General features: G+C 37.1%; 1 protein-coding gene across 50 annotated transcripts in view, besides 3 other annotated features; it reads right to left on the bottom strand.

The window, feature by feature from the left end:
• Positions 2,803-3,304: an enhancer, noted in NCBI's record as "NANOG hESC enhancer chr11:76265528-76266029 (GRCh37/hg19 assembly coordinates)". NCBI's record gives its function as "activates a minimal SCP1, AML or CMV promoter by ChIP-STARR-seq in naive H9 embryonic stem cells {active_cell/tissue: H9 hESC(naive)}" and the evidence as "EXISTENCE:reporter gene assay evidence [ECO:0000049][PMID:30033119]".
• Positions 4,140-4,690: an enhancer, noted in NCBI's record as "NANOG hESC enhancer chr11:76264142-76264692 (GRCh37/hg19 assembly coordinates)". NCBI's record gives its function as "activates a minimal SCP1, AML or CMV promoter by ChIP-STARR-seq in primed H9 embryonic stem cells {active_cell/tissue: H9 hESC(primed)}" and the evidence as "EXISTENCE:reporter gene assay evidence [ECO:0000049][PMID:30033119]".
• Positions 4,757-27,048, bottom strand: part of EMSY (EMSY transcriptional repressor, BRCA2 interacting) — a 108,014-nt gene continuing 85,722 nt past the window's right edge. For 6 of the 50 annotated variants that reach the window (NM_001300942.2, XM_047427267.1, XM_047427276.1 and 3 more), the window contains 7 exons: positions 21,729-21,893; positions 19,838-19,993; positions 18,148-18,189; positions 15,421-15,572; positions 12,966-13,529; positions 11,491-11,991; positions 4,757-7,836 (listed from right to left, as the gene is read on the bottom strand). In NM_001300942.2, coding sequence (NP_001287871.1) covers positions 7,642-7,836; positions 11,491-11,991; positions 12,966-13,529; positions 15,421-15,572; positions 18,148-18,189; positions 19,838-19,993; positions 21,729-21,893 — 1,775 coding nt within the window. In that variant the 3' untranslated portion in view covers positions 4,757-7,641. Of the gene's footprint in view, positions 7,837-10,687; positions 10,761-11,490; positions 11,992-12,576; positions 13,530-15,420; positions 15,573-18,147; positions 18,190-19,837; positions 19,994-21,728; positions 21,894-27,048 lie in introns of those variants that run through there. The other 44 variants (NM_001300944.2, XM_047427268.1, XM_005274112.6 and 41 more) reach the window with 13 other exon arrangements.
• Positions 14,020-15,219: an enhancer, noted in NCBI's record as "CDK7 strongly-dependent group 2 enhancer chr11:76253613-76254812 (GRCh37/hg19 assembly coordinates)". NCBI's record gives its function as "activates an origin of replication core promoter dependent on BRD2, BRD4, P300/CBP, MED14 and CDK7 cofactors, with strong dependence on CDK7, by STARR-seq in HCT116 cells {active_cell/tissue: HCT116}" and the evidence as "EXISTENCE:reporter gene assay evidence [ECO:0000049][PMID:35650434]".

The raw sequence follows: 27,048 nt of genomic DNA, 5'->3' as shown, positions 1-27,048 counted from the left end.
AAGGAGAGCCAGAGAACAGAAGCAACCTGCAAAGACTGAGAGAAGTGTTTTTGTTTGTTTAGGTCCTGTCACTCAAAGAAATCTGTCAAAACCCTAGTTAGACACAAGCTAAGGAAGAGCAACTTCAGTGACCAGTGACCACACATGAAAAGGAATACAATCTATGAAAAAATAAATAGAAAAAGCCACTAGACAAATGGACTACTACAGCCTCCGACCAAATAATCAACCAACTAAACCAACTAAAAGCCCAGAAAAACCTAGAGGAGAGTTAAAAGACAATTATTTACATGATTTAAAAGATGAATGAATAAAAAAATTATAAATCTATGTTATTGGTTACATATGCATAAAGATATAATTCGTGACAACATAAAAGGGGGACAAAGATACACTGGAGCAGAATTTTTTGTATGCTATTGACGTTAAGTTGGTTTCAATTCAACTAGTTTGCTATAAATTTATGATGTTCAATATAACCCCCATGGTAACCACAAAGAAAATACTAAATATCTTTAAAATAGCCACAAAAGAAATGAGAATAGAATCAAAACATTTCATTACAAAAAAAAAAAAAAAAAAACACAAAATTGACCAACACAGAGATTAGGAGAAAAATTTTTTAAAGAAATAAAAATAGATTAATTTTAAATATCAACACAAAAGACAGCAATGAATGAAATGGAGGATTTTAAAAGGTAAAAGACATATGAAAATCAACTATCAAATTGTAGAAGTCTTTCTTTATCAATAGTATATTAAATGTAAATTGATTAAAGCCTCCAATCCAAAACAAGAGATGGCAGAATGGATTAAAAAACCATGATCCAATATGCTGCCCACAAAAGACATTAATAAAAACAGAAAAGGGTCCAGGCGCGGTGGCTCATGCCTGTAATCCCAGCACTTTGGGAGGCCAAGGCGGCCGAATCATGAGGTCAAGAGTTTGAGACCAGCCTGGCCAACATAGTGAAACCCCATCTCTACCAAAAATACAAAAAAATTAGCCAGGTGTGGTAGTGGGCGCCTCTAATCTCAGCTACTTGGGAGACTGAGGCAGGAGAATCACTTAAACCCGGGAGGCAGAGGTTGCAATGAGCTAAGATCGCGCCACTGCACTCCAGCCTGGGTAACAGTGCGAGACTCTGTCTCAAATAAATAAACAAATAAAAATAAAACAAAGAAAAAAATCCACAGTTTCAACTGACGCAAAAAAAAAAAGCATTTGACAAAATTCAGCACCCTTTTATGATGACTCTCAGAAAACTAGAAATGCTTCGTTTTCACCTTCTGTTCTACTACTCCCTTCCTCCCCATTCACTCTAATCCTGTCTCATTCTTCCGTCTTTGAACACGCGAGGCACATTTCTTGGGGCCTTTGCACTTATTCTGTCACCTGAAACACTTTCCACAGACATCAGCCCGGCTAGCTCTCTCAATTCCATTTTTTTGTTGTTGTTGTTGCCTTTTCAGTAAGGCCTTCCCTGTCTAACCTATCTAAATTTTCACATGCATCTTGGAATTTCATGTTCTTCTTCCCTACTTGTTTTATTATCGCTAAGATACTATGCATTTTTAACTTATACTTATCACCTGTTTAGAATGTAAGCTACATAGGGCAGGTACTTTTTTAGTATTTTGTTCACTGCTATATCCCTAGTGGCTAGAACACTGCCTGAGACACATGCACTCAATAAATATTCAATGACTTAATTAATCCATACCTAGGTGGAAGTTGAATCTATAGCACAGATGAAAGTCCCAGGAAGACTGTGCTTAGTGAGAAGGGATGTGGGTTGAGTACAAACCCTGGTGAATACCACCATGCAAGAAAATAGCGGTTGATCCTGTGGACCAAATAGGAACAGTATTGGGTTGAGTGAGAGAGTGAATCTTATCAAGATTATTTATGATTTCACTAAACCCTTTTCTAACTTAAACATTAAGCCTGAGATTTAATTCAACAGCATAAGAGAAAAAGAACTAAGAAAGCTCAGTGTCTATGATTTTAGGATGAAAAAAACTTTTTTAGAACGACTCCCTAAAATAATGCATCTCAAGGACTCTCTGAGAGGCACATTGTGTGGGACTACAAAGAAACCCACCCACTGAGTGATGGTGGACTCTTGGAATTCCCATCAGGTATCACACAAGGAACTTGATGACTTCAAAAAATAAAGTGTGAATTCTTACACCAAAAGAGGATCATTATGCACTGCAAATAATTCATAGCAGGTAACCAATGGTAAGTGCTAAGTAAGCATGTGTTTCTTCCCAAATGCTAGAGGAACTCAGCAGTGGGGTGGGTTGAGTTCTCATTGAAGAGATCTGGGCAGTCTAAATGAAGGAGGTGGAATTCAAGCTGGACTTTGACAAATGGGTGAGACTTTCAAATGCAGAGCATAGTGTGTATGTGGTGGGGGAGGTAGGCAGTAGGTCAGGGTAGTAAAATGGGAATATGAATCTAGAAAATGATGCTTTAAGAGCCTTAAATGCTAGATTCATACCATTGTATTAGGGAACCATTGAAGATGTTTGAGAAAAGGACATAAGGAGATAACATTGTTATCAAAAAAGAAATGTCAAATATATTTTTCTGTTCTAATCAAGCAAGACTCCAAATATTTTGTAAGTGTATTAATTCATTTTGCCAGCTCGTGACTTAAACTTCTTGATGACTTCCCATTGTTCATAAAGACAAACACACCTTTAACACAACTGCAAGATTCATATAGTTTATCACCGTCTGCTCTCACCATGCTGCCCTTGCTGCTCATGCTGCAGCCACAGCGGCCTACTCGAAGTTTCCCTCCCACCATGCCTCTCGCACTACAGGGCTTCTGCACCTGCTGTCCTATCTCGTCACAGCTTATCTCCCTCCTCTTTGCCTAGTTATATCCTAATTCCTCTGGTTCCTTCTGATCACAGCTCCAGCATTCCTTCCTGAGGGAAACTCCCCCAACCTCCCCATTTATATGCTATCATGACACTATGCATTTCTCCATCACATCTCTTAACACTTAATCCATCTAGTTTTAATTCTTCATTAACATGTCTCCTTCACTAGGCTGGATGTTCCATGACAATAGAGGCTTTTCCCACCTAGCTGACAACTGTATCCTCAATGTCTGCACACAGAAAGAGCCCATTAACTACCTGTTGCAAGACAGAGAAAGAAAAGTCAGGACACCAGACAGAACCACTTGGAGAGAAGAGATTGCTTATCTATCAGTTTTAAGTAATCAGATAAAGTAGTACTATTTCATTCTGTCCTCTGCTGTTTTATGCCTTTTAGAGCTGGTCCAAGCTCACAGGGCTTGTCTGGTTTAAAAAAAAAAAAAAAGCAAGTATATGTTTTCAGTTATAGTGTGTATGTGTGAGCATGGAAGAGGGAAGAAGGCAGAGCAAGACTTTTCACAATTACAAATCTGATCCTGTGTTTCTTCTTTTTCAATATATAGGTCATCAAGTCTTGCTTACTTAAAGCTTACGAACCTGCAAGCAGAGGCCGCAGACTTTGTTTTCAATATCCTTTCTGGGAAAGGTCTTGCTTATACAGTGCTTTTTTTTCACTCCACTTCCTCTTATATGGGATTTATGACACATAATTAAACTAAAAAAAAAAAAAAAGCCTGAATCGAGCACCTCTGTGTAAAGGCACCCAAGGCTGATTAGAAGACATGTTAATAGCCCAACACCGAGTTCCTCCATCCTTCCAAGGGCCAGTCCTGTTTGGTAACAAAAACACTTCCTTCTAGAGAAGGTAGTAATTCATGGCTCAGCATGATGTCATTAGCATTTAATCTGAGTTTTAGTACATCATTTAACTTCTTTGAACCCTCAGTTTTCTATTTATAAAGTAGGAGTGGTGTAATTACTGGACTCAAAAAATACTGAGCACCCGACTCTCACTGGCATTTTTACGTGTACTGTTTCATCTTGTCTTCATAATAGTCCCATGGGGTTAGAAATACTCACTTTTATTATGGAGAAACTGACTCGGAGAGGAAATGTGACTTGCTAAAATTCACATGATCAATACACAGAAGAGTCTAAGGGTCAAATCCAGACCGCCTGACTACTATTTCCTTTGTACTAAGTCTCCTACCTTAGCAGGCTACTGTGAGAACCTCAAAAAGAAATGTAATTAAAAGCAAGTTTTCAATTATGAAGCTATACTGTTTTAATACTGCTAAGCAATTTGTTACATTAGAGAAGCAGAACTAGAACCTAACCTAGGATTTTAAGGGTGATAAACATTACTTTTCTCTTAAGATTAGTAGTATTTCCTATACTTCAAAAATTCTCAATTTAAAATGAGAGAAAAAGAAAATAATTGGAAAATGGGCAAGGAAGCTGAAGAGGTATTTCTCTAAAGATACATGAATGGCCAATATGCACATGAAAAGATGCTCATCATTAGCCATCAGAGGAATGGAAATTAGAACCACAATGGGGTAGCACTTTACAATTCATACATGAGGATGACTAGAATAAAAAAGACAAACAGCAGCAAGTGTTGGCAAGGATGTGGAGAAACTGAAACTCCTATAGACTGCTGATATGCAGTCCCTGTGGAAAAGAGTCTGGCACTTGCTCAGAAGGTTAAACAGTCACTGTATGACCCAGCAATTTCACTCCTAGGTATATACCCATAAGAACTGAAAATACGTAAAACTTGTACACAAATTGTTCATAGCAGCATCATTCATAATAGCCCAAAAGTGTAAACAATGCAAATATCCATCAGCTGATAAACGGGTAAACAAAATGTGATATATTTCACACAATGGAATGGCCATAAAAAGAAATGTAGTACTGACACATTCTACAACACGGATGAACCTTGAAAATACGCTAAGTGAAAGAAGTCACAAAAGACCACATATTATATAATCTCATTTATATGAAATGTCCACATTTCTTATGGCACATCCATAAGAGGCAGAAAGTAGAGGAGTGGCCACCCAGGGCTGGAGCGATGGTGGTGGTGGTTTCATTTCAGGATTTCTTTTGTGATTAATGAAAATGTTCTCAAATTGATTGTGGTAATGGCTTGCCCAACTCTGTGGATATACTAAAACCATTAAACGGTATACTTTAAATGGGAGAGTTTATGGCATGTGAATATCTCAATGAAGCCCCCTTTGGTTTTTAATCCTCTAAGTTCACCATAAACTGCATCTGCAATACTAGGCACTTATTAAAGTTTACTTTAAGCCAAATGGATTTTTCTTATCACTGCCTAATAGTTGTTAGGATTCTAAAAATTCTGTAGCATTTGCATTGTAATTTGTTAATATCCTTCAAAGAGATGACTTTAAATTACTTTTAAATTATGTACTTAAATGTGGAATACTAATAGATATAATGCTAAGACTTTCAGTAAAGGGATGTCTGAAAATCCATATATGGCATCATCATCTATCCACTTTATAAAAAAACCTAAGTATTGTTCTTATTTTCTCCTGTCTTCATTCCTTGTATCCATTTCATGAGCAGGAAGCCCTGTTTATAAACTTCATAAGGATAGGATTTCCTGTTTGTTCACTATGGTATCCCCAGTGCACAGAATACTACTTGTCATACAGAAGATGCTCAATTAATATTTGTTGAATAAATAAATGAATGCATGCTCTATTTGGAATTAACACCTTTAAAAGAAAAATTTTAAATTTCACTTGATAATTTCTTAATATTTGTAATTCTTTAAAAAAATGTAGATGATAGCACTTTTATTTGCCATTCCAATTGCAGAAACATATGAAGGCTAAATTCTCAAGGGACACAGGTATGCTATGCTGCCAAAATATGTAGAACATAACTTTATTCAAGTTTGCTCTTGTTACTTGATCCATGAATATTTAAAAGATACTTTATTTTATAAAAACTTAATCTGTAAGTAATGGATTGATCATAACAGAGGGCTTAACCTGGAATACATGGATAGGCTTAGAGGCCCATGAGCCCCTAAAATTGTATGCAAAGTCTAACATGTATTTAACATGTTGCATGTGTATCTTTTTGGTGAGAGTTCATAGTTTACCAAAGAAGTCTATGACCCAAGAAAGGTTAAAAAATTACTTAACTAGAAACAGTCACAAAGTTTTTTAAACATGAATTTGTACAATAAAATAATATCCAACAGCTCCATCTATGGGTAAATCATTATCACCTAGCAGAACTAGTGACAACCACCAGAGATCAGCGCATCTTATGAATGCTTGTGTTTAAATCTTCAGTGTCACTCTAGTGGGAATTTATTAACTATAGTATCACAGCTTTTTCCCCCCAGATGTAGATGCAAAAATTAGGAGACCGTTGATGAATTCTACTTACAGTACTTCAGCACCAAAAAAACTGGGCAGTTATGCTGATAAATGTATGTACAGTTCAACATTTGTCAGTCTTAAAATGCTTATTTATAGTGAAATCTATATAAAACCGTTAAAAACTTTTCTATTTACATTTTTAAAAATGAAAAGTATAGTTTCCTTTGCCACAACTTGTCAAAACTCTTACCCTCCCACCCCCTTACCCCTTTCACTCTACTTGTGACAGACAGTGATCACAAGACCAAAACATATTGCTTAAACAAACTGTGTCCTAAAAAGATAGAAGGCTTAAAAACATTACATTTAGAACTGTAAATGAACTTTTTATACATTTCAAAGGGGCTTAAACAAAAGTATGTAAAAGTTATTTTCAAAGTCTCAGTCCAATGTGAATGTGCAATTTCAACGTTAAGAAAGCATCATATGAATGAATAATTTGTTTTCTTAACATGACCAAACATTTCCTTTAGGTCTGAAAACGTTTCTTTTCCTCTGCTTCGCAATGAAACATTTTTTAGTAAGTTTTCTTAAAGGAAGAGGGAAAGTGGGGAGACGACGACAGTGGAAAGCGTAGGCAATCCTGGTTTACAAGAAATTTGTCAGAAGGAGTACGGCCTGCTTTGAAATGTTTACACTTAAATAAATAGAAGGCAAGTGTGCTGCTTAGAGCACAAAGGAACAATACAATAAATTAGCACACAACTGATAAGAATGCACAAGCCACCCAAAAAGTACCTCCCACTGGTTAGGGATCTGATTTCTACCATCCAACAAGGATTCTTTAATGCCAGTATTATTCTAGGTGTTTATAAACTAATTATGAACTGAGAAAATGTAAAATTTTAACCAATTCAACACTTCCAGGGATTTGCAAAAACATACAAGTTTTTAAAAAACTTTTCCTGACACATCATTTCAAAATACAACTATTCACATTCTCCTTTTAGATGGTATTTTGCTCAGTAGAAACCAGTTGAGAAACATTCACAGGAAGTCTCTTTCCACTGCAAGACAAAACTGTTTCACCGGCCATGATCCAACAGAGAAAGAAGACCAGGTCTTAAGTCACTGTAAATGTGCAGCTTTTTTTTTCTTTTTCATTTTTTTTTAAAAAAGTACATTCCCCTGTGAGTTTTATCTTGTTTTAAAAAGCTGCTCCTGCAGCAACATCTTGTTGAAACACTGCTGTTTTAGGGTCCACAGCCTAAGTACGGGCAAAGTGCTCTTTTTAGTCATCAAAATACAAGGGTTTCCCTGGACACTTGGTAACCAAGCAGGTTTTAAAGTGCACTATTGTGTCCAAACACTAGGACCGTTCAGCAGAGCTCTGAGAAGGGCTGGGTTCAGTTCCATCCTCCGTGCTACTGTCTATGTCCTGCTCCATTGCTGTCTCCTCATCATCCAGCTGTTGACTAGTGAAGTTGTTTAGCTCAAGAAGCCCACTGGGCTCCACCACCACATTGGAGCTGGAGTGACAAGGAATAGCATACTGAGGAATAGCCTGGAAGAGAAGACACAGGAGAATCTTTATGGTAAGAAAAGGTAGCAGAATAACTTCCCCAACAATATCAAGAAAAAAAAAAAAAAGAAAACTGACATTTTTTGGACAACTGGACAACTACTACATGCCAGGCACTGTGCAAGGTGCTTTCACACATCACATTCTACTAAATCCCATCATATTCTGCTAAATCCCTGTGACAACACTATAAGAAAATTATTATTCCCATTTACAAATGAGGAAACTGAGAGGGTAGATGACTTAACCAAAGTCACACAGTTGGTCAGGGTTAATGCCAAGATTCAAATCCAAATCTTGTACAACTGAAAGCAATCTTTCCACTCCTTTATGGTGCCTCTTCTAACAAAGGAGGCTCAAATCTATTGCCTAATTCAAGAGAAGAACTTTGAATAAAGCTTTCATTTATTATTAAGCAAATGTAAATGTAAATGTAGCCTAATTTTGCCCTTTATTATCTGCAAGACGAGTACCAGTAGAAGAACACTTGCTGTAGACCTCTGTGTAAGTAAATATCATAGGTACACTGCCTTGTCAGATTCTTTTTCCTCTTTATTAGACATCCTTTAAAAAGGTTTATCAGTTCATGTCATACTCTTGTTTAAAACCCCAACATTGTTTCCTATTGTACTCACTATACAACCAAACACCCTACCATGGCTACCAGCCTCATGCCAAACTCACTTGTACATTAGTGCTTTTGTACTAGTCCTTCCTCTCTTCCTGGAATATTCTTCCTCCAAATCATGGCATGGTTGGCTCTGTCCTGTCATCTGCAACTTGGTTCAAATGCTTGGAAAAGCTTTCCTTCCATGACCACCAACCCAAAAGTAGTGGGTTCATCCCACCCCCATCTCTATTACATTCTGTTACATTTTTGTTCATTGCATTTATCATCTGTTAAATTGTTTCTTACTCTTAAAATGTAAGCTCCAAGAGAACGTGGACAGAGCACAGATCTTGACTATCTTACTCATTGCTAGATGCCCAGAGCTTTGAACAAGGCCTGGAACACAGCAAGAGGCTCAATAAACACTTGATGAATAAATACACATTTTTAACATTAAAAACCCCAGAGCAAAGTTGAATATCAGCACTTTGCAAATATGCCTGACCAAAATAACCCTTTACTGGGGAAAATATAAATTACACTGTCAAGAAAATAATGCAAGATGCCTACGCATTGGTTCTGGAGTCACGAAGTTCTGTTTGTTTGTTTCTGCTTCTTTTTTCCACATACCTGATAATTGTGTAAGACTATTAGACAAGGTCAAGAGGCCTGGATTTTAGTTCAGCTTTGTCTCTGGCTTGCTGTGGGCCTCTGAGTAAGTCACTCTACTTCTTTGAGCCCCACATTAATCTTGTGTAAAATAAGATAGTTGGAGGATACACTGTGAAGATCGTTGCAGTTCTAAAAGTCTATGAATTCCACATATATAGACTCTTTTATAATAGAAGATACATCTTGTTTACTTCCCTATTCTCAGCACTTAGCACTGTGCCTGGAACACAGTAGTTAAACATACATGTGGAATAAATGAATGAATGAACGAATCAACCAATGAATAAAATACAGACTGTCCACAAAGAGCAATGCTTTTCATTCAAAGCATTTAATATCAAACATGTTGAATTTTTATAGAGCATTCTTCTAGAATCAAAGCACTTTACAGACTCAGCAAATCAATACTTCAGATCAAAGCTAAACATAACTAATAAGACCTGAAAATGCTCTAACAATATATTAATGATGAGTATAATAATAGGAGCTATCTTTATTGAGCATTGCTCTACACAGACACTTGACTAGGTGCTTTATATACATTTTCTCACTTAATCCTCAAAACAACCCTCTGAAGTAGATGTTAATGCTTCCACTTCATAGGTAAAGAAAAAGAGATATATAGGTTAGTTTAGTTGCCCAAACCCACAGTGCTGTTACATAGTGGATACAGGTAGAAATCACATCTAGGGATCTCTGACTCCAAAAGTTTGGTTGTTAATCACTCTGCTGTCCTTACCTCTGACATAGCACACCTAGCACATGGGACATGCTAAAAGCTGGCTGCGAATTCTGTAAAGAACCTATCCATTAACTATCATCCTTGATACATGAAGCAAATTACATTTTCACTCCTGTTTATAAAGTGCAGAAAAATAATTCCCAAATAAGCTGTTCAAAATGATTTTTAATTTAGTGAGTATAGGAATCTAAGCCCCCAGTAGGCATGATAATTTTGGTAAAAACAGTAATAATTACCATCTGTTAGACAACAACTATGAGCCACGTACTGTGCTAGGTGCTTGATTTTGTGTAATCCTTGTATCAATCCTGTAAAGTAGGCATTACTGATTCCCATTTTACTGATGAGAAATCCAAGGCAAAATGACGTTAAGTAGCCTTGCCCAAAATCATACAATGAATGGCAAAGCCAGAAAACCATTCCTTTTCCACCACACCTTACCTCTTCAGGGGAAAATACAAAAAAATCACAAATCCTTTTGTCAGGAAATATTTACTTCATTTACATTTGTTTTTACAAAGGGAAACAAATTATTTTAATAATTCAATGGCCATTTCTACTTGCCTTTAAGCACTTCCTCTATATTTAATTCTACCTTAATTGGTTTAACATTGTCAATTTGCATTCTCCCATAGTTTGGGATCATGGCAAAGAGAAAGTTTACCATAATGAATTGATGGTAAATCCTAGTCTACTCACATTTCAATAAATCCAAATTCTCAATTAACTAAAATGTGCTATTCTGATACCTTCCAAGCTATATATCTGTTTAGCAAAGAATGACAAATGTCAAGAAAACAACCTGATACCTTGCAAGGAGAGAGGGAGATAAAATACAACTTCTAAGGGGTAGCCTGGACTCAGTAATTCTTTAGTCTTGACCTATTATGCATGACAAGAGATGATTTTTAGAATCAAGGGAATGTGAGGTACCATCTATTATCAATGAATAATTCTATTGTGTTAATTAGCCTGTACTTACCAAGGCATGACAGAAACCAAACAAGATTTTTTAATAACAATGATTGAATTAAACAGTAAAGTTCATGGTTAGTCCCAAATTAAATATAAACATTATTTTAAAATATCACCTTAGAACATGTCTCTCCAGACATTGCAGTTGAGGTTTGATTGTCCTGAGTCATAAATTTGGATCAAGAACAAGAACTGTTTTTCCAAGAAAAGGGTCCCCCAAATTAACTTGAAATAGAAGTGCAATCCAGTTACATTCCAGAATTTTTTGAGCAAAAATTGAGGAGTACAAAATTTGAACCCAGAAACTTCCTATCTTCTGGGTTGACTTAATGAGTGAACACATTGGCAAGTATAGCTTGTATCTTACAAAATCAAACTGACACATGGGCTCTTTATTGCCTTTACAGTGTGCTGGGTGACAATGTCCATCAATTTTCTGATCCTCTTCCAGAAAATAAATAAATTTGTATTTTTGTAATAGGTGTTAAACCAAATTTGTCAAACACCATCTCAAAGATAATATCTATGTCTTCCTGCTGTCTTGGCTTGATTCTTCCTGTGACAAGTCAAAAACATATCAAACAAACCCACAACCCCCAAGATGCACAAGATTTCTCATTTTCCTTCCAATTCTTACCTGGATGATAATTTCTGCTGGACTCTCTTCAGCTTTCTTTTGGCCTACATTCTGAATACGCATGAACTGGCCTGTCGCAGGCACTGCTGGTGGATCAATTTTCCTTGTCGTTAGGGAAGAGCCAACAGTGGATGGACTCGAACAGGACTCTCTACATTTCTGTTGCTGGGGAGTGGAATTCGCCATCCCTGCCACCACCATGTGGGTGGAGGGTAATGATCCTGCTTCACCAGTGAGCATGCTAGTGGCAAGAGCCTTCTTTGGGGGATCCACTATCATATGTTCTACATTTGTATCAATCTGAGCTTCCATCAAAGACATTTTCAAAATGTCAGACACTGCTGTCTTCTCAGAGGCCTGAATGGGAGATATGCTTGTAACTGGTGATGTCAGCTTAGGCACAGAACTGCCACCAGTTATCTTTGTAACTGTGGGAGGCTGGCGCCCCTCAAAAGTTATCTTTGTAACAGAGGATCCTTGGGTTATAATTGGCTGCTCCACCTGAAAATAAATTGGGGTTGTGTGTGTTATAGCTACATCTCTTTGAGAAAATCTAATCAAACACCCCAGACAATATGGCAAAAGAAACATTCGTGCGCTATACTAGGAAGACAGTTTTGAAGCTTGCTGTTTTAAAAAGAGGGCTGGATAGGAAGGATCTGGTTACTTTTACAAAACCTAGAGAAAGAGGAGGGGTTGAAAGAACCTTTGTTCAGCCAGCCAAGGTTTATAGCAATAAAGAAAAAAGTAGTCTCAGCAGCCTAGTTTTCCTTTGGGGTTTACAGCCCTAAACAGTACACCTTCAACCTGGCTCAAATTATTTCATATAATCTTCTGCTTTTTAAAATAAAAAGAAGATTTTTTCCAATCTTTTGCTTCATAATACATGTATACAAACATATCCTATATATATGTATTTATAATATATACATACATATACATCACTCCAGAGCCACTGGTTTTGCTAATATAATTTTGCTTTCAATTATCCACCAATAATTCCTCTGTAATCTAGAAGATAAATCTAAAAAATAAAGTTAACTAGATGGCTATGATATAAACTACAAAGAAAGATGTTCAATGAAGTTCCTTAAAAGACTGTAGTTTACTTAGCATTATTACCACAGAAATCAGAGTTTATAGGCATGGAAATAAATATTTTATACCAAAAAATAAAAATAATTTAGGGATATCGCTTCTATGCACTGTTGGTCAATGCTGAAGTGATTTCAATAAAAACTGCCTGAAAAATCAAGTTTTGAGTGCTATGCTTTTTTTTCTTCCTACATATTAATGCGTGCATTTCTTCCCTAATGTCAACCTTCTGATGGGGCAAAGTAATACCAGCGTAATGAGGCTTTTGGGTTTCCTCTTGCCAGGAGAAAGCACTGATATCATGATAGGGTCGTGATGTTCTCATTTTTTTTTCCGTGAACAGAGAAGTTTAACTTTGCATGCTATCAATATTCCGTTACCTGGCTTGCCGTCTGTTTCTCTGAAGAAGCTGGGAGCGACATTTGGCTCTGGGGGGTTTGGGGTTGCACGTAGATTTTTGGTTGGTTCGGAGCCTGCTGCAGTTTAGGGAGCTGCTGCGTGGTTTTCACTGCAAGCACCTGTACTACAGTTTGCGGGGGCTGTGCCATTAAGGTAGGAAGCTGCCTGTCTTTGGCCACCATGGGATGCTGTGTGTGCTGTACATCTGGCTTGGGCTGTGCTTGTTCTTGCTGGAGAGGGGTGAGTTTTTGATGCCTGATGGAAAGCTGGGGCATTTGCGGGAGTTTGTGCTGGAGCTGGTCTGCCTGCAGGTGGATGGTCTGCTTCTGTTTAGTCTGGAAGCACTGCAGAGTTTTCACTTGCAGCTGAGTCTGTTCCAGCGGGGGCTGGCTAAGTTTCTGCTGTTTAGCTGACTGTGACTGAGTCAGGGCAGATCGGTAAAACAGACCTGTCTGAGGGTCTAAAGTGTCCATCTCTTCAACCTCGCCCTCCTCAGTTCCAAGTTCCTCGCTGTGTTTGGTAAAAGCAGTGTGACTGCTTAATGCCTAAGTAAAAAAGGCACAAAGTAAGAATGAAATAAGAAAAACATCTACATTGCTACATTTTCCTCTTAACTGAAAAAGACTTACGAGATTCACTCAAAAATTTTCAGAAGAACCTAGAAAGGCCAAGAAACCTCAAGGAGCTTTCTACTGCAACTTGCAATTTCAACTCTCAGACGTAAGTGCTTCGAAAACTGGTCTACTTACTACTATAAGAAAAGTCTTAGAGGGTCCAGAACTTACAGATTAGAAGAATAAGATGGCCCTGCAAGCACAACCAAACACGGAAAAAGAAGAGAAAGGCTCCCTGGCTCAGGAAACAGCCGTCTGGCCTATTCATGATGTTAACCTCTCTAAAAGCGGTAACCAAGCCATGAGGTCCCGAGAAAAGCCAAGGTTCAGAGAAGCCCACCATGGCTATGTGTAGGTCCAGTGCTATCTGGAAGGTCAGGGAGATTGTCTGAGACCTGTGCCTGTACCAGTCCCCACAGAGAGCCCCCTGCATGGATGAAGATCATTCTTCAGGCTTCACCAAGGTCTGCATGAAGCACCTCTCGACTAGCATTCCTCGCCCCTTTGCTCAGATCCCAGAGCCCTGGCTCCCAGGACGGAAGGAGACTGAGGAGGGGACAACAGCATTCCTGTCAGTAGAAAGGCAAAGTGCCCAGTGTCAGTGATAAGTGTTGTGAGGAGGCATCATCTTGAGTGACACGGTTAGGGCCAGCCTGTCAGACCTTTCTAGGTGTCCGGAGAAAGGTCAATGTCAGGAGCTGCCAGCTGAGGGCCGGACTCCAGGCTGAGACCTGCCGCCCAACAAAACCTCCAGCCAGTTGGCTTCCCTCAATGACACAGCAAGATCCACCCTATCCCCATCCTCCCTACTGCCTTATCATATGCTACACTTAAATCCTAAACTATAAAATTTTGAGATTCAATTGTGACTCTTCCCTATACCATAATGACTTTGCACATACAGGCTTTCAATTCAACATTCTCCGTTGCCTTTCTTTCCAGTAGTTTGCCTACAGTTAGATTCATCATCATGTGAGTGATGGTGACTTATGTGACTACTAATGATAAGTCATGCTTTAATCTGATATCCATGATATAACTATTTAACAGAGGCAGTTCACTTTGGGTTTAAATCCTGGCTCTGCCACCTGGAGCAAGTTTCTTACTTTCTTACTGAAGTGAGCATAAAAGTTTCCTCACTTGTAAAAGAGGGATAACACACCCACCTTGCAAGATCATAGTATGAATCAAACAATTTACTTAAAGCTCAAAGCACAGTATCCGACACAAAATCAACCTATTAACATATTTTTCCTTTTCCCCATTACCCTTAATACCAGATGTCCTGTTTTACATTAGATTTATATTCTCAACTTTCTGTTGCATCTCTTCCTCTGTAATTGACCATGTATAGTTAAAAAAATCAAATATTTATTTTCCTCCTTAGTCATAATGTTACTATGAGGATTCATTATAAAAGCAAAAAAAAAAAAAAACAAAAAACGAAAAACAAACTACAAACCCAGCAGCAAACAGCTAAACAAGCCAAATGTTATTTCATTTGAAAATCTTATTTACCTCAATGATACATTCTTCCACAGTAAAATACACAAAAACAGTGACCAATTCTGATGTCATTAGATTCATCTAGACATTCTCACCCTTTTGAAATGGTAAGAGTTCACAGATTTAAGAATACTGTTTCAGAATTATTTTCTGGTGTTAAGACTCTTAATTCATTTCCTCTACTCATTTCTTAGAAAAGAATTACACAAACACTCTACGTTCCAATTATTTCTCCTCTTAAAATACAAGATGACACTGAATCTTATTTCAAGCATGGGCAGTTGCAGAAGATAGGAAGAAAAAGAAGAGATACAACCTGCTGCATAATGTGGGTGATTGCTCCAGGGGAAGATGCTGGGATGGACTTCACCACCACCGAAGTCTGTGTTGCGGTCTGTGACTGAGCCACATGCTGGAGCAGGGTCCGCTGGGGCTGGGAAGGCTGTTGGGGCTGGGAGCGATGGCTGACTGAAAATAGAGGAGGTGATGATATTTCTCCAGAAATCACCACAGCATCTGTAACCAGTAGTCATTTTAAACAAATGTCTGTGAGCTTGTATCACAGAAAGAAAGTGTAGTATTGTGAACTAGGAGGCAGAAGACCACAGTCTGCCCATCTATGAGCTGTGTGACTCTAAGAAAGTCTCTTATCTTCTCTGAGACTGTTTCCTCATCTGCAAAATGGGAATAACAGAGCTATTATAAGGATGAGATGAGAAATGTATACGGAAGCACTGTGAAAACTCTTATCACAAAGGAGGAACAAACCCCTTAAAGTTGCATCCTCCCATGAGCTGTACTCACTTTCTCCAATGACTTTCATCCCATTAAGGTAACAAAGCAGTAATCAATTTCTGTAATCCCAAAATAATATCTTTAAGGAAAGTAAGGCAATACACATTCTTTAATCTCTTGGTCTCAGTTCGACATGCAATAAAAACATTAGTAGCATTCACTCCTTTGTATTAAGTGATTCTGTCTCACAACCTTACAGTTCCTAAAAATCTAAAGGTCTGGGTGATAATGCAGAAAATAAACTGAATCAAGAATCACGCTTGGATCCTGTCCTGTTCTACCATCAAACAGCCAAGTGAATTTGAAGAGGTCACTCATCCTCTATTAGCCTCTAAAACTTAAGAGGTTTTGTTTTGTTTGATTGATTTTATTTTAATGGGATAATAAAGGCTTGCTGTTTCTACCTAGAAGAGGACCAAATGAAGTAACAGACTGAAAAATTGTCCTTAAACTATAAAGTACTAAACAAATATAAAGAGTTAACAAAATAATAGAAAAATCTGTTCTATCATCTCAAATTTAGCTCACCTGGCACAAATGGGTAAGATTGCAGTATAGGAAACATCCCTGCTTCTTATTCTATTGCTACAAAGGTCCCATGAAGTAACCAATCTATCAAATTTTACCAGCTTCAACTTTTTATTCATTTGTTTATTTATTTTGGAGACTCAGTCTTGCTCTGTTACCCAGGCTGGAGTGCAATGGCACAATCTCTGTTCACTGCAACTTCCGACTCCCAGGTTCAAGTTACTCTCATGCCTCAGCCTCCTGAATAGCTGGGATTACATGTGTGCACCACCACGCCAGGCTAATTTTTGCATTTTTTAGTAGAGTCAGGGTTTTGCCATGATGGCCAAGCTGGTCTTGAAATCCTGACCTCAAGTGATCCACCCACCTCGGCCTCCCAAAGTGCTGGGATTACAGGCATGAGCCACCACACTTGGCCTCAACTTCAACTTTTTACACAGTCCACAGAGCTTTAAAAATGCATATGATTACTGGGAAACTAACCCTTTGAATTAGAAACAGATAAAAATACAATATATCTGTAAATTAGCTAAGGCTTTTGGGATTATTGAAACTTTCTCAATAACCCATGATTCTAATGTTCATATACCCTGATCTATAATTTCAAATAGCACTGACTTCCTGTTTAGAAAAGTCATAGTGGGGTGTTCAAGAGTAAGATGATCACTATGGAAATCAATGTAAAAATGCCATTTATGTATTATAAGGACTAGCTTTAAAACTATCCAGTGAAATATAAATAGGCTTTATTTTTTATGACACATTCTATCTATATTCACAAATGCAGTGTTTCTATTGTTGCTATACATATATCTACATGTGATTTGAGATTATAGGCAGCATCACCAGTATTCTTTTATAAATGTTCTGTAGTATCTTACAATATTTCACAGTATGCTTTGTATGCACATGTTAAATTACGTGAGTTAATAAAATCTTCCATATGTGCTCAACATAATCGAAAAAAAGATAGTCAAGGTTTACACTAAAACAACAATGACTGAAGTAATTTACAATATGACTGAGTAGAAAAAACAAATTATAATAATATTAAAATTAAGCAAATTAATATTTTTTAAATGAAAGCATCAGAAATGAATGACATGTGAAAATAAAAAATACATTTCAGATGAAATTATCAAATTATATGGAACACTTCTACCACCCATATTAATCTTCATAATTATTACATTAAGCATTTTTTTATTAAGAAGTGAAATGGATTTTAAAAAGATCAACTAAGTCTATTTAAAAATAATTCTCCTTCAACTATAATTACTTCACGGTAATTCTCCAGAGTTCAGGAAAATTAGAGAGAACTAGTACCCACTGCAGAATGATACAAAGGGCAGGCCAAGCAGCTGGCTTTTAAGTCAAAGAAAATGCTCAATATGGCTGTGGATATCATGGGTGGAGATTGTGGAGGAAGGTCACAGAATAAACCCTTGGAAAATAGCTGAAGTGACCTTAACTGGGCCATATAAACACCATAAAGCAGTAATTTTTATTATTTTAAAGAACTCTTTTTTCCACTGTCAAAATGCTCATTTCTGAGAAAGAATTCCACTATTCTACAAAAGAAAAATCTCTCTTCCTTTCACTAAGTGGAGCTTACCTTTCCTCTACCAGATGAGAGTAGAGCGCATCCATTTAAGCGGTTCCCCCCAAAACAATCATCTTTTACCTTCAGTGATACTACAAATGGATGCACACCACTTACCTAGAAGGGGAAAAGCAACCTCTGTCCCCTCATCAGTGCGTTCTGAAAGGATAAGTAAGGGAAGAAATCATAGTCTTTTCATCTGTTCACCATGCAAGAATCTAGTCTACCCCCAGAGGTTATTTATGTTCCCCAGAATACTGGCCTCTGCTTGAATTAGCTTTCTGCTAAATATCTCTAAAGAAAGATTCTAGATGGCTTTCCATATCTTACCTGGATTTTCCCCTTTGGCAATTTTAACCCATTAGTCTTAATAATATTATCTCCTAAAATGATGCCAAAGAATTCCTTTTCTTTTTGGTATTTATGTCCTTCAAATATCTGTAAGTTTATGTTCTCCTTTAACCACTGCTAAAGAAAACTTAAGAAAGGAGTCCTCTACATATTGCCTCATAAGTCATCTCTCTTAAACCCTTTAATTATTCACATTACTGCTCTCTGAACTATTTCAAATTTCAAAGTAATAAAGTGTTCAAAAGAGAAAGCAGTATTCCAGGTGTCATCTAATCAGAATAGGAGAGAAACAATCTATCTTGTTTTATTTCTCTATATATGCCATCTAAAAATCTCAGTGTTTTGCTGCCAGACCACATTTTAAACAAATAGCTAATCTGCTTTCCACCAGAACTTGTAAGTATTTAAATGGATTTAAGGGTTTTTTGGCTTGTTTTTGTTTTTATTTTGAGACAGAGTCTCCCTCTGACACCCAGGCTGGAGTGCAGTGGCATAGTCTCAGCTCACTGCAACCTCTGCCTTCCGGATTCAAGGGATTCTCGTGACTCAGCCTCCCGAGTAGCTGGGACTACAGGCAAGTGCCACCACACCTGGCTAATTTTTGTAGTTTTAGTAAAGATGGGGTTTCGCTATGTTGGCCAGGCTGGTCTCAAACTCCTGACCTCAAGCAATCTGCCCGCCTCGGCCTCCCAAAATGCTGGGATTACAGGCGTGAGCCACTGCATCTGGCTAAGGTTTTCTACTTTTTGAAAAATATTAAAAGGACCGGATTTTATTTCTTCTTTCCCCCTTGACCCACCTTCCCACAAAACTAAAAACTCTAGATGCATAAAAATACTTATTCTAGGCCAGGCTCAGTGGCTCATGCCTGTAATTCCAGCACTTTGGGAGGCCAAGGTGGACGGATCTCTTGAGCCCAGGAATTCAAGACAAGCCCGGGCAACATGGCGAAATCCCATCTCTACTAAAAATACAAAAAATTAACCAGGCATAGTGGCACACACCTGTAGTCCCAGCTACTCAGGAGGCTGAGGCAGGAGGATCACCTGAGCCCAGGAAGTTGAGGCTGCAGTGAATCATGATCGCGCCACTGCACTCCAGCCTGAGCGATGGGCGTGAGACCCTGTCTCAAAACAAACAAACAAACAAAAAACAAACAAAACTCATTCTTAGACAAAAGATATTTTATCCTCTCCCTACAACTGTTGCTGTATATTCACAGTTGTTATTTATGGCTGACTTGTAGTTTTATATTACCTACAAACTTCATAACATCCTATTTTTTTTCCTAGTCATTAAAGACAGGGTAAATCCCAAGGATGGTGTGAATTTGCTCTGAAAACAAAGAGGAAAAAGCTAAAAATATAAAGAATATATTCTCCCCCACACAATCATCCCATGAAATCCAGGAAGGTAGTTCTCCTACCTTAATACTACATTTTAAGAGGACACCTACCAGTAGTGATGTATTCAGCTACTAGTTCTGACTCTACCACAGCAATTGATGGACTCTCAGGAGAATGTCTCTTTTCCTGGGTCATCTGAATAGGCACTGCCATTTGACTCAGGTCAATAGTGGGTTGTCTTGGTTTAGATTCCAATTTTTCCTTTACTGCATAAAAAAGTCAGGGGAAAAGTTAACTTTTATTACAAACAAGTACCAAAACCAGAGTTGTCCACAGGAATAATGAACCAGACCTCTGGGGTGCCACACTGGCAGTGACTAAGTAGACAGTGAATTGAAAAGAAAAAAGCAGATTGCTATGTATGGCTGTTTAGTGCACAACTTGCATAACCATACTCAGCAGCCTAGTAAGAAGGACTTACATACAATAACACAAAAATCATCTCCTTTTTATCTCTAAGCCAAACAACTGAATTTTTATCTTGTACACTCTCCTTAAGGTATTTCCTATACCCTTCTTCAAGGTATTCCCTGTGGTCTTGAGTTCATCAACCTAAAAACAAAGGGTGAATAAGCAGTACATAACATGATTTGCTCTAGGACACATCTACCCAGAATAGCACAACACAGTGACCAGTTTAATTTGAGCTATTAAAAATTCAAGATATCTCCAAAGGAATGTTACAATGTCTTCAACAACTTTTAAAGAATAAAAATTTTCATTGTTAGAAAAAAATGGCTTCTTTGTTTCTAGAAAAATGTCTGATATAACAGTCTGGAATCAAGAATGATTTCCATTAATAGATTCACTTTCTACCTTGTTATCAACTTTTCTACAAAATCTATGCGTTCAAAGTCCCCACCTCTATAAGGCATTAAGAGAAATGGCTCAGCATGTCAACGACAAAGAACCGAAGAAATCCCTAAGGTCAAAAATAACACCGACAGAAGGATTAACCAAAGACTTACATTAAATGCTAGTAATCTTTGGATCAAACAAGGTGGAAGTTACAATAAACGGTAACCAGTAACTAAGTCCACTGAATGTTCATACCCACTGAGTACATAACCTGACAAAAATCAAAACAATTAAACAAAATAAGTAAAACAACAACAACAACAAAAATACAAAAGTCACCCTACAAGTAGAGAGGACATTGAACTAGGAACCAAAAGATGAGTCTCACTCTGCCACTAATCAACTGGATAACCTCTCTAGATCTCAGTTTACTTATCCATAAAATGAAAGGTTTGGATGACATAATTGCTAAGGTCATTTAAATACTCTGAAAATCTTTGACCTATTATAAAGGAAAAGTCAGTATAACTTCCACAGGTTTGTTCTAGAGTTTATCAAAGATATTTAGTAATTAGAAATACTTATAGGATCTAGTTATATGAGGACAACTTTGCATGACAGCTCAAGTGGCTAACCTATACTATTCAAAGAAATAAGTCTGAAGATAAAATTAAAACAAATCAGAATGTTAGCAAGGGCCACTAAAGGTGTTTTGTGCTCCACCAATATCAAGGAGGATGGCAAGGCCCTTCAATCTGCCTCCTGCTATTCTTCAATGCAACTGGCAACTGTACTGTATCTAGCCTTGTGCTTAGAAGTGATAGAACTACTCCTTTCTAGTGCTAAGGAACAATAGGACTGTCCATTTTAAGCAAGAGACAAGACAGAGCTGTCAATTTTTTTTCTCTTTTCTACAGATAGTCCATCTGTACTTCAATATTCCTGTGCACATCTTACTGAACTAACAAGTAAACCAGACTGTACCAATGATTATAGACAAGTCCAGAGGGGGGAAATGTGCTCAAATAATAGCAATAATAATAATAAATAATAGTAATAATAAATAATAACAGTGGTAGTATTTTAGCACAACCCGTCTCTAGAGAAAACATGCTTCATTCAATTGAGCATGTGAATTCATACCTGTTGTCTGTTGGAGTTCTAACAGAGCTTTGATTGTTGAAGTAGCTGATTGTGATTCACTGGATACATCCTGATAAATTATGGTAGGGCTAGTCTCCATTGCAATCTCATGTTCTGACCAATCCTGACGCCGGGAAGCAATTACATGAACTACAGGCTGGGAATCTGTTTTATATTAGTTAAAAAAAAACAAACCCTATAAACAAAGTTTCTCTTAAAAAAAAAAAAACAAACAATTTTTTTGTCTGTTTGCTTATCTTTCTATTTATTGTAAACTTCATGCTTTATCTCCCCAAGAAGACTATAAGCCCCTAGAAGGCATAATGTCTTTCACTTCTGAATTCACTTATTCATTCACTCATTCATTGATTTCACAACAAACTGGACACTTATGTGCCAGAATCTAGATATGGCATTGAAGATATAAAGGAGCTCACAGAATAATCAGAGGATGCTCAAGAAGCACATAGTCTGGCTGGGGAGACGGACATGTAAAAAGACAAATCACAACTCAATGTGATAATTGCTATTATAAATAGATACGCATATGTGTAGGTGAGTGCATGTTTGTGTATAGTAAGAACAAAATGCTGTAGGAGTCTTATTTTCTCCAATGCACCTGAAAATATGTGTTGTATTACAGCCTGAGCATTCTGTCAACACTTATTGGATGGCTGAATTACTGAAGGAAATCCTGTTCACTGCCAGCAAGAAAAGACAGATGATCTAGAACCAGCATGATATAACAGGACAAGTGTAACATCTGGAGCTCAAAGTCTTGGATTATAGCCCCAACTACATCAATTATTAGCAAGTTGATTCTTTGGGTCTTAGTTTCACTACCTCTAAAATGGGAATAAAATTATCTCTCTTCCTCATAGAATTTCTGAGTATGCAATGAAATGATACATGGAAATGAGCTTTATAAACTATGAAGGCCAATAGAAATGTTATTATTGTTGCTATTGTAGCTTGGAAGTTCTGAATTCTAAGACCCTTTGTTAGTTTCAAAATAAATTACAGCCCTAATCCAAGGCTTATTATATTCATGCTATACAGGTACACATATAAATACTAAATGTGCATCAAATCAAGCAACAAGTTATTCTTTTAGTTTTCCACCTATAAAATAAGCAAGTTGGACTAGACTATTACAAACTTCCTAAACTCCTTTGTCCAAGACACCATAGAGGAAATTGTGGAGGACATAAAGGCATGATTCCTTCCTCTATATTCAGATTATAATGGGGGAAACATCAAATAAAGATATATGGCTTTGTAGCTTAGGGCAAATATCAAATGATTAGGGCAAACAAGACAAACAGAAAGTAAGAGGCTGCTTTGAATTGGGATGGTCAGTGAAAGCATCACAGAAGAATGAAAAGAATTCAAGTAGCCCCCAAAACAAGAATAAACATAATAAACGTTTAACCCTCTATGAACCTTATATTTTTTAAAGCCACAAAGTTGTTGAAAAATGTTGGGGCAAGGGGAACAACTCTTCCAACAAAACAGCCTTCCTGAAAAAAACAAAATCAATACACAATAGACCTAGAATTTTTAATTACCATGAACAAACTATATTTTCCTCCCCAAAACACCAGGTAGAATATATGCCACATGAAGATATATAATTTTCCATTAAACTTCCCCAGAAATACAGAAGACTGGATGCTATCCTGCAATACCAAATGCCATGTGAAGCACAGAGCAGCTTTTATTCATTTTAAGTAGATATGTAGAATTTAAACTTAAGAGAATTGATTATATTATGAAACCATTCCTTTTATATAACTTAAGCTCTCAAACTTAAGAAATTTTCATAATGATATAGGCAAAGAATGACTTTGCAACCCAACCCTACAAGACACACTGAATATCCACAAAAGGCAGGGATTGTGTTTATAGAGATAAGGTAGAAAGAGATAGGAAAAAGGGAAAACAAATTTCCATAGGAGAGCATCTACCAAAGACCATTATCCCAAACAACATCACCTCGTAGGTACTAGAGAGATTGCTACATCTCTTTCTGTCTATACTCAGAAAGAGCAGCTGACCATCATAAGTATCACTGTAGCAACCCTGTGACACAAGATGAGTGTGTGAACCTATGTGAAAACCCATCTTTAAATGATTCTCTCTCCTACTTTTGGCTTATGCTTAGACCTAAATGAAGCTACTGTCTATCAAGTCATGGAACGCAATGACTAGGAAATCAGGAGCTTGCACCAGTAACATGTGCTTATGCAGTGTGCGTTCATCTAGACTTCCTGCATCTCTTGCAGATGGCAGCCTGTCCCTCAGATGTCTTTCTGCACTGAACAAGTGTTTGTTGGATACCTACTACACGTTAGATACTAGAGATATACACTTTAACAGTATACTCAAAGGCAGACTCAGACATCTCTATGGAAGAATATCTCCTATGTCTCTATTATAAATGGCCTAGATCATACTTTCATAGAATCTTAAGACTTTTCCGTTAGAAGGGATCTTAAAGTTTGTTTAATGCTGCCATCAATCTTATACTATAATCTTCACAATATTCCCATGGGTCTGAGAACTCCAGCACCAAAGTACTCACTACTTTCTAAGACAGTTTCCTTACAACTCTGCACAGTTATAACAATCAGAAAGTTTTTTCATATTGAGTAGAAACAGGTCTTGTGACTTCTACTTAGCGCTTCTAGGTCTGTTCCTGTATCCACAAAGACCAATTCTTTTCCTTAATCCACATCACAGTCCTGAAGATAACTGACAAAAGCTCCTATGTCCCCACCAACCCAACCCACCCCCATCTTCTCTTCTTCATGATAAATCCTGTCTCCACCAACTATTGCTCATACAAAGTGATTCTAAACACCTTACACATCTAAATCATTGCTTCTAAACTAAACCTAAGATATCTATATCCCTTTTACGATGTAATATATACCTTCCCTCTGAAGCACTGTCATAAAGCTCAAGGACTTCACAGTATTTAATTGCCTAGACAGCAAGGCCCAAAATGTTCCAGAGAACATTTGTTCCTCAAGATGTTCTGCAAAAAAAGGGTTCCATGGTCAAAAAAGTTGGGGAACATTTTATATTGTATCTTCCACTCTTAATCTTTCATATACATATTAGCACATAATTGCTCTGAAAAGTTCTGCAATAAGTATGTTTCTGCTCAACCTGGATTTATTCCCCACCCTCACCTTGACGTACTGAGATCATGAAACTTCAGAAAGAAATCATTCTAGAAACTGAGTTATGACTTACTCAAAGCAATGTCTTTACAAGATACATTTTTGTATTTGACTCATGCCTTATTCCATTATAAATCTCTGCCCTTGGGTTTGTCTCCTTGTTTTCTTCCACTTCACTTAATATAATCTTATATTTTAATCCACCTTAAAACCTTTTGGAAACAAAGCATAATATAAATAATCTTTAATATGTGTTTAAAAAAAATCTGGAACCCATTCCCAAATACGTTCTAGGCTACCCCATTCCCAAATGAGAAAGGGGAAAAAGCCCATTTAGGAAGAAAAGCACAGGAACGATATGACATATGACCTGATCTTTAGTAAGTGACCTAGGCGAGGATGGCCTTAATCCATTAGGTTTGGTCACCTAGCTATCTATCCATATCTAGGTGTATACTACTTACTACTTAAAAGGCCCACTCACAAGGTTAGGGGGAACTCCAGAAAAAAAAAAAAAAAACATTTTGGACTCAGGCAACAAAAATGAGTTTATAAGGCTGCAGCTTAACCCAATGCCACAGTTATTATGGTTGCTGCTCTGCTATTTGTTCATTCGGTGAAACTTTTACTGAGTACCTTCTCAGTCCTAACTGAACTCTTTGGATAAATGCCAGATATGTATGAAGATGAATATGATCTTTAAGCTTGAGAAGCTAGTAGCCTAGTGGAAAAGAAAACAATTATAACACACAAACAAACACAACATACAAAATAAAATTGTCAGTGTTAAAAGAGCTGATGTACAAAGCAATATTGGAAGCCTAACATAGAAGAATGAATCCTCTCAGGGTGATCAAGGAAAGTCTCAAAATAGGGTGATGATATTCTAGCCTATATGGAGACAGTTGAGAAATAAAAATTTCTCTTCCTTGGGGGTGGAGGACAGTAGGTGAAGTTCAGAAACCACAAGTGGAATCAAGGCATTCTCTTGGCATACGTAGTCCTTATTCCAGGACTTGTGTAGCAGAAGTCACCAGAAAAAGGACCTGAAGTTAAGAAAAGATTGATTTTTCCTTATAGTGGAATGCCAACTATTAAATGTGCAAAGAATAATGAACTTCGGAAAATCATCTATGGATGCTAAAACTACTGGATAAGTGTTTGATGAGGAACATGATATTTATATCATGTACCTTCCTACAAATTACAATTAATCTGAAAGGGAAACATGTTAACTTCATAGTGGAGAAAACTAGAAGACATCATCTTAACCAAGTGATCAATGTTAACATCATCTATGCTGGGACAAACTGACATCATGTTTCTCCTGATAAAACTGAGGATATAATATCCTATCTGTGGAATTCCTGATGAATCTAATCATGAGGAAACATCAGACAAAACCAAACTGAAGAATATTCTACAAAGTAACTGACCTACACTCTTCAAATATCAAAGTCATGAAATACAAAGAAAGGCTGAGGACCTATTCCAGGTTAAAGAGAATTAAAAAACCACAACAGTTAAATGCAGCTAAATGCAATGTGTCGACCTGAATTTTATTGAGGACAGGTGAAAACCATAAAGAACATTATTAGCTAATTAACAATATTTGAATATGGATTGTAAATTAGATAATTATTATAACATTAAATTTCTTGACTTTGATAACTGTATCTTAGTCATAAAGAGAAGAATCCTTAAGAAATATAGGCCTACAAATGTAAGTAAATATAAGAAACATGTTAGCTCAACTTACTCTCACATGGTTAAGAAATTTTAAGAATATACACACACACAGCAGAAGGGGGGCAGAGAATCAACAACAAAGCAAATAGGGCAAAATGTAAATAAGTAGTGAATCTAGGTAAAGAGTATACACAGGAGTTCTTTTTACTATTCTTGCAACTGTTCTGTAATTTTGAAATTATATCAAAAGGTTACTTTAAAAAGAAAAAAGTGGCTAAAAACTACAAAAGCAACAATGTAACAGAAAAATAAACTATGTAGTACTTACATTCTTAATAAGTAGGAATATTCTCATATACTTTGAAAATCAGCATGACCTGAGACCAACCAACATCTTAATCCCTTTCTCTTTAAATCACAGCATATATATTCCCAGACCTAGT

This window comes from Homo sapiens, chromosome 11 (assembly GCF_000001405.40).
Source record: "Homo sapiens chromosome 11, GRCh38.p14 Primary Assembly".
Lineage (NCBI taxonomy): Eukaryota > Metazoa > Chordata > Mammalia > Primates > Hominidae > Homo > Homo sapiens.
Note: the sequence above shows the minus strand (reverse complement) of the source record. Positions and strands in the feature narration are given on the sequence as shown.